At 39.9% G+C, this 14,208-nt stretch overlaps 1 protein-coding gene across 7 annotated transcripts in view, besides 1 other annotated feature; it reads left to right on the top strand.

Annotated features, from left to right (window-relative positions):
- The window catches only part of DYRK1A (dual specificity tyrosine phosphorylation regulated kinase 1A), a 160,786-nt gene that overhangs the window by 75,676 nt on the left and 70,902 nt on the right, over window positions 1-14,208 (top strand). The window lies entirely within an intron of this gene.
- Window positions 9,902-10,453: an enhancer, noted in NCBI's record as "H3K27ac-H3K4me1 hESC enhancer chr21:38823452-38824003 (GRCh37/hg19 assembly coordinates)". NCBI's record gives its function as "activates a minimal SCP1, AML or CMV promoter by ChIP-STARR-seq in primed H9 embryonic stem cells {active_cell/tissue: H9 hESC(primed)}" and the evidence as "EXISTENCE:reporter gene assay evidence [ECO:0000049][PMID:30033119]".

Below are 14,208 nucleotides of genomic sequence, written 5' to 3' on the forward strand. Positions count from 1 at the left end.
TACTTTTAATCTATTAATGTCTTTGTATTAGAAATTTATTTCTTACAGACACATATAGTTGACTTGCTTTTCTTGTTGTTCCTGGTCTGAAATCTCTGCTTCTCATTTGAGGTATTTAGATCATTTGTGTTTAATGTGATTATTGGTATGTTTTGGTTTAAATCTGTCATCCTGCTATTTATTTCCTATTTGTGTTGTCTGTTTTTCCCCTTTCCTCTTTTTCTCCTACCGTCTTTTATTCTGCTTTTGGATTGATTGAAATTTTTAAATGATTTGATTTTCTTCCTTTTATTGGTTTATTCATTTTAACCTTGTTTTTTAAATTTAGTGGTTTCTCTTTATCTTATCACAGTCTACTTCCAAAGGATATTAGATCACTTCACGTATAGTGTATTGACCATACCATAGTATTCTTCTATTTCTCTACTACTGTCCTTTTTACTGACTTTAAAATAGATTTTGTTTGTGCATATGTTATTAACCTTACACTACATTACTATTATTGTTTAAACACTTAGATTTAAATAAGAATTCCTGTATTCTTATCCATTTCGTTATCTTTTCTGGTCTTCATTCCTTTGTATAGGTCCATATTTCCATCTAGTTTCATTTTCCTTCATCCTGAGTATTTCTATTAACATTTTTTGTAGTGCGTATTTACTAATGATGTATTCTTTCACCTTTTAGGTATCTGAAAATGCCTTTATTTTGCTGTTTTTTTTTTTTTTGACAGATATTTTCAGTGGGTATGGAACTCTAAATGACACTTTTTTCTTTCAGTAATTTAAAAATGTTGCTGCACCATCTGCTCTCTCGCATTGTTTCTTACAGAAAATCTTCTTTATTCATTTGTATATAATATGTCTCTTTTTCTGGCCGTTTTTAAGATTTTTCTGTTTATCATTGGTTTTTAGCAGTTTGATAATTACGTACCTTAGTTTAGTTTTCTTTGTGTTTCTTGTGCTTGTGGTTTGTTGAACTTTTAGATCTATGGGTTTGTAGTTTTTATCAGATTTGGAAGATTTTTGACCATTAGTTTTTCAAAATTTTTGGGTTCTCCTCTCTGTCAGGAACTTTAGTTACATGTATATTATTAGGGTGCTTGAGATTGTCCCAGAACTCAGTGAATGTCTGTTAACTTTTTAAAATCTCTTCTGTTTTGACATCCAATTTCAGTTGTTGAGTACTCATTTGGAATTCTGAGGTAGTTTTTATTGCTGTGTCTTCAAGGTCACTAGTCCTTTTTTCTGTACTATCTAACCTTTTATTAGTTTTACCCTTTGTGTTTTTTATCATTCACATTGTAGTTTTTATTTCCATTTCTATTTCATCATCTCCTCCTCTTCTTTCTTTTTTTAAAATAGAGACAGGGTCTTCCTATGTCTCTGTTTGCTATGACGGGCTGGATTTGAATTCCTGGCCTCAAGTGATATTCCTGTCCCAGCCTCCCAAAGTGCTGGGATTATAGGTGTGAGCCAGCATGCCTGAACTGTAGTTTTCATTTCTAGTTCAATTTGGGTGTCTTAAAAATATTTTCCATGACATCCCTTAGATATTTGAATACATGGAGTACAGTTATAGTACCTGTTTCTGTTTTTTGTTTTGAGACAGGGTCTCACTCTGTCACCCAGCCTGGAGTGCAGTGGTGCTTTTGTAGCTCACTGGGGCCTCATACTCCAGGGCTCAAGGAATCTTCTCCTGCCTCAGGCTTCTGAGTAGCTGGGACCTACAGGCATGCACTACCAAGCCCAGCTAATTTTTAAATTTGTAGTAGAAACGAAGTCTCTTGGTGTTGCCCAGGCTGGTCTCAAGGGAGCCTCCTGCCTTGGCCTCTCAAAGTGCTGAGATTACAGGTGTGAGCCACTGTCCGCAACCATAGACCAGGGTAGGAGATGTCTTTTTTTTTCCCCTTTCTTTTAGAGACAGGGTCTTGCTCTGGGGCCCAGGCTGAAGTGCATTGGTGCAATCATAACTTACTGCAACCTTCAACTCCTCAAGAGATCCTCCTGCTTCAGCCTCCCAAAGCACTGGGATTACAGATTGAGCCACCGCTCCTGGCCAGTACCTGTTTGGGTCCATTTCTGTTAATTCTAACAGCTGTATCAATTCCTGATTGGTTTCCATTGATTGATTTCCCCCACCCGTATGGGTTGTGTCTTTCTGCTTTTGTGCGTACCTGGACATTTTTTATTGTGTACCAGCCATTGTGAATTTTCACTTTGTCGGGTGCCGAGTATTTTTGTATTTCTTCTGTAAGTTTTCTTGGCTTTTGTTCTGGAACAGTCGGGTTACTTAGAAATAGTTTGATCTTTGAGTCTTACTTCTGAGATTTTTTAGGTGGGACCAGTGCAGTGTTTAATGATAATTATTCTTCACAAATGGGAGCAGTGTAGTCCTGTGTAGTTTATCCAATGCTCGGTGAGTATCGATGTTTCCCATTCTGGTTGGTGTGGGAAGCTTCTGGTAGTTTGCTGGCAATCTTGGGCATTCCTTGGCTTCTGCTGCATTACGCCTATCTTTGCCTTCTTTCTCACACGGTGGTCTTCCTGTGTGTGTGTCTGTCTCTGTCTAAATTTCTCCATTTTATAATAACACCAGTCATATTGCATTAGTGCCTACCCTGATGACCTCATCTTAACTAATTATGTGTGCAGCAAAGCTTTTTTCCAAAGATGGTAACATTCTGAGGTACTGGGGTTAGGATTTGAGCATAGAATTTTGAGGGGACACAAGTTGACCTGTAACGTTGCCCCTGGAATGTTTCCTGAATATACTTCTGTGCTCTTAGGGTGTTACACACCTCCTTCTCTCAGCTTGGTATGCCCCCGTTCCTTTCTTCTGCTTCTCTTTCTTAAAAGCCACCTGCTGATGAGAACCTCTGTTTAGAAGGTTTATCAGATTGTACCTTTTATTATAAATATTTACATGGCATATTTCTGCACATAAAACATTTTTGAAGACCTGGAGAGGATTTGTCCCACTTCTTTCACTGTCTCCCAGTACCACCTGTAGTACTTTATAACTAGTGATTACCCGAATTGAATACGTTAATGAGTATGTCTGAACAGACAAGTTGCAGAATGGACATTTTAAGAAAGATCAGTAACTGCAGGAAGGATTGGAGGCTTAGGCATCTGGAGTGAGGAATTCATTTTGGAGATTATTATAGTAAGTCAGGCACGCATTAATTTATTAATTGAGCCTACTAAGTACGGAAGCCTTCACTGGGTATCAGGTGTAGACCTGTGACAATTTCAGAATTTGCCTCTGTCCCCATGGACCTTACTGTGTGTGGGGAGTCATGAGGTAAGAACAGAAAAGATGGACAAGAAGGGTTTTCCTGAGGAACCCTAGACAAACCTTGAGAATGATTAGTCATGGGTGAGGATGAAGCATCGAAAAACATGATGCCAAGCCTGGGTGCATGAGAGAGGACCGTTAGTAGAAATGAGAAGTCAGGCATTTGGTGGGTAGGGGATGATAAATTAGTTTGCTTCTAGATAAGATGAGTAGAACATCTAAGTAGAAAATCCAGATTGCAGAAAACTCACAGTTGAATGGTGGAGTGGTAGATGTTCTTGCTTGGGTATAAAGGGAGAGAGAGCACCAGCAGTTAGTTGGGTGAAGGGGCTGACAGTCAAGAGCAGAGATTTTTCTGGGTAGGTGCTACACCGAACATATTTGTAGGAAGAGGGGAAGTGACTGGGGCACTGGGAGGTGACATGCAATTATTTCCATTTTACAAATGAGAAAACTGGGACACCTAAAAGTTAAGAAAGGTGCCCCAGGGACACAGCTAGTAAGTGGTGGAGCCAGAATGGAAATCTGGGCAGGATGGCGGCAGAATCTGTGCTCCTAGGCACAGGATGGTGCTTCTGATAGTTTTCTTTAAATCTATTAACTTTTTAATATGTTAGTTTGCTTTCATAGGGAATTAATACTATAAAGTTAGAACACCAGCCCTGCTTGTCACTTACAGAAGGCAAGAGTAAACACGAATATAGGGAAAGCAGAATAATTCAACAAAACAGAATGCACACCGGAAAGTAATGGAACTATTTGTGATCAGTTAGTAACTAAGGGGTGTTTTCTGTTAGATGCCAGGAGGTTTAAGATGATGAGGAATGTTTCGGAAAATAAGCAACAAGTATTTGAGCATTTACTGTGCCAAGCATTTCATGTTGGTGCGGGGGATGAAGTAGTGACTAAGACAGAGTCCCTGCTTTTGTGGAGCTCGTTTTGTAATGGAGAGAGATACACAGTAAACATCTGAACAAATAGAGTTGGGGAAGATGCAGTTTTTGCTGGGAAGATCAGGGATAGTCTTTCCATGGGAGTGCTTTTTTTCTATTTCATTTGGTTTATTTCAAATGAGCAAATACATCTGTGGGGTAGTCTGGTTTATAGAAGTGCCCATCAGTCATGCAGATCTCTTGTATCATGAACAGTGTGACATTTTTTCCCCATTGGAGTACAGTAGTAACAGTTTTTCCATATCAAAGCCCAGCACCCTCTATATAAAAGAGTAGTCATTTGTAATCAGATGCCAAGAAAAAGTTGGGAATTTTAGCACCCTGTCCTTAACCAATATTAGCAGTCTTAACATTCTTACTGGCAGGGCACAGTGGCTTATGCCTGTAATCCCAGCACTTTGGGAGGTTGAGGTGGGAGTATTGCTTGAGGAGTTCGAGACCACCCTGGGCAGCCTAGTGAGACCCTCATCTGTATTTTAAAATAAAAAAACAACATTCTTACTGTAATTGATGTGGGAGGAAGAGCATCCCTGCTTCTAAAACGGTAAATCAGTGTTGCTACCAGAGTATCTTAGGCGTTAAGAAGTGAACGCAGTGATGTGCAGGAAAATGTATTGGAAAATCCTTGTTAGTGACCCACACCTGCTGTCCTTGTTGCTCTGAAGAACATGCTACAACTGCAAGTTTGAAAAAGTTTTCCTGAGCATTGGGCCTCTCAACGCTCTCATTTTGCATGTAATGGATTACATTGCTGTCTTATTTTAGCCATCTCCTAAGAAGTATTAGCTCTGAAAACATATTTGCTTTTTTTCTAGAATGCATTGAACTAAATGCATTACTATTAAGATAAATACTGTAGTGGATGCAACTCTTAAAAAAGCTAACAAGTTGCATTTTCAAGAAATTCAAAATGAAAATGGCCTACTAAGGTCTGTGGGGAAAACTTTTAGAAAATCATTTAAATTGATTTTCCCTATTTAATAAAGTAGTTAATGGGAAAATTCACATGGCTTTCCAGCTATTAAAATATTCCTATCCTGACATTTGAGAATCTACAATGTATAGGCAGGTTTGAAATTCTTTTTTTTTTTTTTAATTTGAGTGGTGTTTCAGAGTTTACAAGTGTGCTCACACGTGTTACCTCACGTGAACCTCACAGAGATGTCAGAGTGGCTTATCATCCCAACTTTACAGTAATGGCAGATGAGCCTTGGAAAAGGTCAGGGTCACACAGTGAGTTAGTAGATCTGAGGCTAAAATGGACTTTTCTGTTTATCATATTGTTTACTGAATGCCTGTAATATGCCTTAGGTACGCAAGAGATCTTGTTCTGCGCCCCACCTTGTGGCGGTGGAAGCACACAGGTCAGGCCAGAGGAGGAGTTCTGCTCCTTTTGTGCTCCCTCTGTGATTTGGGAGCATGCAGTTCTTCATAAGAATCCCCACTCTCCTGATTGTTACTAGTCTTGCCACCATTCCTCATTGCTACCACTTGTCCCCTGTGTGAGAGGGATGGGTTGGGAGGGGAAGAGAGGGCACTTAACATCTGATTACAGAGGCAGAGCTTTATGTGTAATAAATGCTCTACTCTCCTAACAGGAGAACTTGCTTCTTTTATATCCCCTTCCTCCCTGTCAATCTATGATTGGATCTCAGGAGGTGAGTTGAGTGAGACAGTGTTTTCTCTGAGGGCCTTGTTTCCTGCTCATTCACTAAAGATTTGTCAGTGAATGAAGCAGCACTTCCACCCTCAGGATCTTATGTTATAGTTGGGGGGAAAGTGACAATGACACACCCCATGTAACTTATAAATAAATATATTTTATGATACTAATATATAAGTGTACATATATATACACATTTTTATATGTGAACATACATTAAAAAAACATAATTTCAGAATGCCTCACACGAATCTTGCTGCCACTCAAGCCTTTAAGACCTAAAGTCTGCTTACCTCTTTTTGTAAATAAAGTTTTATTGGAATATAGCCCTACTCATTGGTTTATGTATTATATCTGTGGCTGCTTTTGTGCTACATGGGAAGAGTTTTGATTAATTGCAACAGAAGCTTCATCTTCCGCAAAGCCTAAAACATTCACACTCTGGCCCCTTAAGAGAAAGCTTGCTGACCCCTGCTCAGGATGTAGCAAGCATTGTACTCACGGCATTATACTCACGGCCATGGTGCAGCTGCAGACTTAGAAAAGAAGGCTTGAGTTGGCGAGCTGATGGACATGGCAGGTGGGTGGAACTTAGCAGTGGAGTGGGTAGTTTCTAGCCTCTAGGTGTGGGATCACTGTGCTAAGTCAGGAAGTGTGGCTAATCTTTGCTTAGAGGTGGGGAACTTGTGCTTTTAAGAAAGCACTTGGTGTTTTCTAGTAAATGTGAATTGTGGCGATTAAAAAAATTGTATATTAAAATTCGGAATTAACAAGTTTATGTAAATTAGAAAGTGAGAGTTGCCGCTGTCCCCTCAATTCCCACTCTTCAAGGTGTTAAGAGCTGTTAAGAGATGGAGTTTTTCCCCCTCTGAGTATTAACTTCTACTTAGTAATTTAAAAATCTGCTATATTTTAGACCATCTTTTTTTACATTGTGACCCTGAGGTTCACTTGATTCCCAAAATGTAGTCGGGATTGTTCAGTTGAGTGTTTGTTACATAGAAGATTAACGTGTAAAATATTTCAGAAGAGATTTTAATAGACATCTCCCTGTCAGTTGATGAGTTGACATTGTTTTTCTAAATAGTTTTAGAATTAGGCTTTTTATGACAAGTATTAAAGCACTTTGTACTGTATTACTGGTATTTTAAATTTTTACAATTTTTTTTAAAAACTCTTGTTCTGGTGGAGGGTCCCATAATCAGAGTCACCTGAGAAACTTCAGAACAATGCTGGTGCCTGGTCCCCATTTCAGGCCTAGCAAGTCCAAAACTCTAGAGGTCAGGAGATCATCTACATTTGTAAAAGCTCTGCAAGTGAGCTATGGAGTAGATAACACTTTTTATAACATAACTTTGTTTTTATAATAATTTGTGGGAAAATAGGAAGGTTTAACATGAAATATTATAGGTATGATTTATATTTCTAGTACAGGTCATGATTTATGCTGAAAAAACTTGTATATTTTATTTAAACTCAAATATTGAGCAAAGGAGGGAAATATATATAAAACAAGTATTTAAAATTTTTTTTGTTTGTTTTTGAGGCAGAGTCTTACTCTGTTGCCAGGCTGTCAGGCTGGAGTGCAGTGGCACAATTACGGAGCACTGCAGCCTCAACCTCCTGGGCCTAAGTGATCCTCCCATCTCAGCCTCCTAAGTAGCTGGGACTATAGGCACATGCCACCATGCCTGGCTAATTTAAAAATTTTTTTGTGGAGATGAGGTTTCGCTATGTTGTCCAGGCTGGTCTTGAACTCCTGAGCCGAAGCAATCTGCCTGCCTTAGCCTCCCAAAATGTTGGGATTACAGGTGTGAGCCACCATGCGTGGACCTAGGAATTACGTAATTTGATTTGAAGAGTCATATCATTTTTCCCCTGCTTTACTTTTGTACCTCTTCTCCAAGAAAAAAGTCTACTCTCTCAAAAACCGAAAACACATTTCTTAACTTCTGGGAGGTAGTTTTGTTTGTATTAGTTCAAGTCCATACTGGAATACGTTTGACCAGTGTTTTCAAGCTGAGAAATGACATTTAATTATTTGTTATCATTTCTAGGTAGATAGTAATTTCTGTATTTACTAAGGTAAGCTAACTGGTTTAACGAACACACCTAATATTTCAGTGGTTTAAATCAGTAGAATTTCTTGCCATATAATAGTCCAATGACTGTTAGTACAATGGGATAACAGCTCTGCTCTGCAGTTATTCAGGCTCTGAACTATGGGCATTTTTCCTATTTTAAATTTAATAGTGTCCAAAGGTCATCCTAGGTTTTGGCATTTGTTGAATGGGGGAAGAGCATGGAGGTTTTCACACGCAATTTTTATGGGTCAGACGTGGTAGTGGCACACATCACTTCTGTTGACATTTCATTGGCTTGGTCTTAGTCACGTGGCCATGCTAACTGCAAGGGAGGCTGGAAATGTAGTCTAGTTGACTCAGGGAAAAAAATGCCTTTGGTTATCAATTAGCAGTCTCTTTCGTGTGGTCAAGGTAAACAACATCAGCAAGACATTGACTTCTCTGTGAGCTACCTAATTATTTCGTTTTTGCTTTTCCTTTTCTCATTTTCCCATGTTTTTGCAATTACTCTCCACTTTTCCCCATAAATATCCTGTTTTTGAGGTGATGGCCCGCATTCTTCATTTACTTTCAAGTCTAGTCAAGTCAAGTCTCTTGGATGCAGACAACAGAAACCCATTCCTGGCCAAGTTGGGCAGAAAACAAATGTAATGGAAGGCTATATGTTAACCCATAGAATTAATTGAAAGCTGGAAACTATGCTGGAAAAATAAGTAGGGGCCAAAGCAGGTGGCAGCAGAGGACACAGCCAGGGTCGCAGCAGAAGACCAGTCTGCTTCGGATCCCACACCTGGCACTTGTGCAATGCATTGCTATGTGAGCCTCAACTTTCCTGCCTCCACTGTGGATAGTCTCTTACTGTCCCTACATCTTGCAGGAGTGACCCATCAAGACTCCAGAGTCTGAACAGGAGCATGTGATTGTCAAAACTTTGGTCACTAGCAAAGCCCTGGTTACCAGGGAGGTAAGGTAGGAGATTTGTTAGTTTGGTTTTTATACTTGGTGGCATGGCTTTTTTGCCTTCCATGATTCTCATGAACTGTGAAGAGTGTTCAGATACCAAATGGCCTAAAAATGACAAATACCTATGTGGGAACCTTTTTCATCAGGAGAAATAAGTTGTGGTATAAGATGGGAGGCTGTGTTCCAATCTTGATTTTTATCACGTTGTTAAGCCTCTGGGTTGCAGCCGCCCCCTCTGTAAAGTGAGGTGGGGGAACTAGATGTCTGACAGTGTCTGTTCATTTACTCACTCATTGAATAAATATTTAGTAAGTGCCTTTTATGTGCCAACACAAAAGAATTATCACACCCTTGCCTTCCTATATTTGGGTGAGTCAGCAGAGAAGTCATTCTGATACAGTTAGGGTGAAGTGCTCAGATACTCTAGCCTTGGGCAGGGGTTTAGGAGCTCGTGAGAGTTCCCAGGCCAGCCTGGGCAGAGAGTGTTGGAGTAGGGGATTCAGGGACCACACTCCGCTTCTTTCACTCATTCGTTTAGTGTTTCCTTTAAGCCTTTGCCTTGTTGTTATGAGAATACAAAAATAAATAAGACCAGTACTTCCCTCCAAAGCACTAATTGTGAGAGCATGCTGATGGCTTTAGCAGGCAGCATGCTTGCTGTGTTGAGATAAGAGCAGAATACAGTCATGCACCAAATAACATTTCAGTGTTGGACTGCATATACGACAGTATTCCCCTAAGACTGTAATGAAGCTACAAAAATCCTATCACCTAGTGATGTCTTGCGATCCTTACCCAAGGAGGTCTTGGCTTACGTGTATGTGTATCTTAATTTTTGAGAAAAATGTTTAAAAAGTAAAAAGTTAAAAAAATGAAAGCTTACAGAATAAGAATGTAAAGAAAGAAAACATTTTTGTACAGTTGTGCAGTGTTTTAAGCTGTTATTACAAAAGAATCCAAAAGTTAAAAAAAGATTAAAAAGTTATATAAAGTAGGCTAAAGTTAATTTATTACTGAAGAAAACAAGTTTTAAAATAAATTAGTGTAGCTTAAATGTACAATGTCTATAAAGTCGACCGTAGTAGACGGTTTAATGTCCTAGGCCTTTGCATTCATTCACTCATCTCTCTTCCTCTCCGTCCCTCCATCCCTCCCTCCCTCCATCCCTCCCCCACCCATTGCAACTTCCAGTCCTGCAAGCTCCATTCCTGTAAACGCCCACACAAGTGATCTTTTATATCATATTTTTATTGTACCTTTTCCATGCCTATAGCACAAATAATGAGGGTTACAGTTGCCCTCATTATTCAGCACGGCTGAACAGGTTTGCAGCCTAAGAGCAGTAGGCTCTACCGTCTAGCGTGGGCGTGCAGTAGGCTCCACCGTCTAGCGTGGGCGTGCAGTAGGCTCCACCGTCTAGCGTGGGCGTGCAGTAGGCTCCACCGTCTAGCGTGGGCGTGCAGTAGGCTCCACTGTCTAGCGTGGGCGTGCAGTGTATACTCAGTGATGTTCTCACAACCATGAAATCGCCTGACAGTGAATTTCTTAGAACATATCCTCATGGTTAGGTGACAGGTAAGTGTTCTGAGGGAAGAATGGAGTAGGGGACCAGTTCCCTGTAAGATTCTGAGAACGTTTCTTAGCATGACATTTGATCCTGGGTCTTGAAGTTTGAGTTGAAGACTTCTAGGAGGAGAAAATAGGAGGGCGGGGATAGCATGCTAGTTGGAGAGAAGAGTTGCTGAAGAGAAGAGCGAAGAGCTGCTGAAGAGCACCATTGAAGAATGGTGAGAAGGTCGGTGCAGTTAAGGGAAAGGATGTCATGGAGGGGACAGGATGGAGAGAAATGGTGGGAAATAAGACGAGAGGTGTAAACACTTAACCTGGGTACTCTGGGTATTTAAAGTATTGTGAAGTATTGATTTTGAGCTTTTTTTTTTTTTGGTTGTGGACATGAACTTTGACAGCAGTAGGGGGAATACACTGAGGGAGGGCATGGAGCCTGGATAAGGAGCAGTTATTGTAGGGGATTCCCCTGGCCCCTTTCTGGATTAAGATCTTGACAGAGCATGGAAATAAGCAGCTGGATTCATGAGACATTCCAGAGGCCAAAGTCACAGAATGTAGTTAGATTGAGGGGGATTGAGGTAAAGGGGGTGGGGAGGTGGAAGTAAGAGAGCGAATAAGATTGAGGTTTCTAGCTTGAGTGGATGGATGGGTGGAGATGCCGTTTATAGAACTGGGTCAAACTTGGCGCTACTGCCTGCTCCCCAGCCTGTGCAGACACAGTTAAATATAGCATGCCGTGCTTTCCAGCTGAGGCTTGAGTTAGCTTTGGAATCTTTTCTATAGCAGTGAGTGCTCCAGACAGCCACTGCCAATCTATTTGAGTTTGTACTGGAGAGGAAACCTATTTGCCTTCCCTGTCATAGGAGATGGGGAGGGGAAGGGAAGGGGAGCAGGGAGAGGAATCCCACCCACACTAGTCCCTCTTTTCCCTGCGCTCTTTTCTTCAGAACACATCATTTTCTGATCTCACACTCCCGTTTTTTTTTTTTTTTTTTTTGCTTGAGGATTCTTCTGTGCCCAGCAAAATACAAACTCCAGGAGGCCTGAGATTTGGCCCATAATTTTTGCATTTATGCCTTTAATGTTAAGAGCGTTGTCTGGAACAGCACTGCCAATAGAAATGTAAGCCACTTATGTAATTTAAATTTTTCTAGGAGCCACATTTTTAAAAAAGTAAAAAGAGGCCTGGAGTGGTGGCTTACGCCTATAATCCCAGCATTTTGGGAGGGCAAGGCAGGTGGACTGCTTGAGGCCAGGAGTTCCAAGGCTGCAGTGAGCTATGCTTGCACCATTGCACTCCAGCCTGGGTGACGAGGGAGAGACCCTGTCTCTTTAAAAAGAAAAAAGTACAAAGCAACAGTAAAATTAAACTTAAATATATTTTAATTTACCTGGTGTTTCCAAAACCTATTATTTCAATTTATAATAAAAAAAATTGAGGTATTTTACATTTTATGTTGCTAAGTCCTTAATCTTGTTTTTTCCATTTATAGCACATCTTAATTCTTTGTAGCTACATTTCAAGTATTCAGTAGCCACATATGACTATTGTTGACTGCATTGGACGGTGCAAGTCTAGAATATAGTAGGGGCTCAGTAGATGTTTGTTGAATGAATGAAGGAGAGGAAGATGAGTTGGTTGTTAAAGGTTGATTGTAGAATCGAGGAAGGGTTTTGTTCTCACAGTGAGGCAGGAGCATATTTTTATGTTTAAGACAGAGCTGGGAGAGAGAGAGGCGGAGATAACAGAAGTCAGCACGTGACTGATGGAGGAAAGCCCGAGCAGGTGTTTGGTCCAGGGGTCTGCAGCCAGGTAGATGGGAGGAGAGATGCCTTGCTAGTTACTTCCCTGAAGGATAATCTTCAGTTACATTTTAAGAGACTTAACTCCAGTTTGTTTGGCATAAACTTCTCATTGAAATGTATTATAACTCTTCCTTCCCCACATTTTAGGTGCTGGTTAGTTGAGGGTCATTTTTAAAGTCTTAAGGTGTTTCCCTAGTGACTTAACAAAAGAAAGGAAAATAAAAGCCTCTTTTTTTACGTACAAAATAGGAAAAGTCTTATTGGTGTATCTCAACATCTTTACTTTGGTATCACTCAGCTAGAAAAATAAGTACTTTCTATACTAAAAATTGATTTACTGAATCTGATTTTTAGCATTATTATATTTGGAGTTGTATAAATTATATATTTTGCAGTCAATATAAAATAAGGTTATTTTCCCCACTGTTGTCCCTCAGTCTTTACATACTTGAGTCCTCAATCTCCTACATTGTCTTTCATATTATGAGATGTAGTCTCCTTTTTTTTTTTTTTTTTTTTTTTTTGAGACAAGGTCTCACTGTGTTGCCCAGGCTGTAGTGCAGTAGTGTGATCACAGCTCACTGCAGCCTCGACCTCCTGGGCTCAAACGATTCTCCTACCTCAGCCTGCCAAATAGCTGGGACTATAGGCGTGCGCTACCATGCCTGGCTGATTTTTAACGTTTTTGTAGAGATGGGATCTCTCTGTGTTGCTCAGGTTGGTCTTTTAACTCCTGGGCTCAAACCATCCTTCTGCCTCGGCCTCCCAAAGTGCCGGATTGTAAGTGTAAGCCACCGTACCTGATCTCCATTACTTTGAGTAACAAAGTCTTATTTGAGGTTGACACATAGACATGGAGCAACCTCTGTCAATAGTAGTTTTGGATGCTTATGGAGGTCACTTGATGGAATGAGTCTAAAAAGTGAAGCAATGAAATGTAACAGATTTTTTAGGTTATGACCTCACATTTTCAGGTAATGATATTCTAAATCTTTCAAAAAATCATTTTAAAAAGTATTGTTGTAAGTGAAAATAATTAATGTACCTATTGGGTTAATGGAAAACACCACCTTTCTGATGTTAAAAAATTTTATCTCATTGTTACTTGAGATAAAATATCCAGTTATAGTATTTTACAGGGATTCAGTAAGTGTTGTATCTAAAACAACTTAGAAGTTAAGATTATGTGCTGCGGAAAACCAGATGACTTAAAGAGGATTTAATGACGACAAAGATGCTGATGTTAAAGATGGAGTAGGCTTTCCACTATATTGAGAAGGGCACCTTATCCAGACAGATTTTAATAAGTGAGATTGGTCTTATCTCTTTGCTTTTGGGACAGCTTTATATTCCTGAGTGTGCTGTGCTCAGCCAGATGTGATAATGTCAAAGCCGGTAGTGATTGTAGAGATGGTTATTCAGGGGTGGTCACCTTTTTTTTTTTTTTTTTTTCGTGCCCCAGCATACTTGAGCAGGTTAGGTTACATTCTGGCAAAAAACAGGCTCCCAGGACAATTCTTGGGAGATGGGGGAGGGAGAGAGTGGTGTATATATTTTGAAGAGGTCTTAACTACACAGTGATTCTACCCCTGTGTGTGAGGGCCTGGGCTCTTTGGACAGATGACATGTTTTTTCCAGTGTTATGGAGTTAACCTTAGAGCTGGGACCAGAACCCTGGACTTGCTCCTTGTGCCAGTTTTAATTTTCTCAGCCACACCCTTTTCTTTCCTTTTATTTTGTACCCTTTTTTCTTACTATTTTCAATAGAATTTTAAATGTCATATGTTTAATAAGATGGAAACTGCTGATATAAATCAAGAAGCAGTCTTTAAATTTTAAATAATGGTACATTTATGGAGACATTATCAAC

This window comes from Homo sapiens, chromosome 21, assembly GCF_000001405.40.
Source record: "Homo sapiens chromosome 21, GRCh38.p14 Primary Assembly".
Classification (NCBI taxonomy): Eukaryota; Metazoa; Chordata; class Mammalia; order Primates; family Hominidae; genus Homo; species Homo sapiens.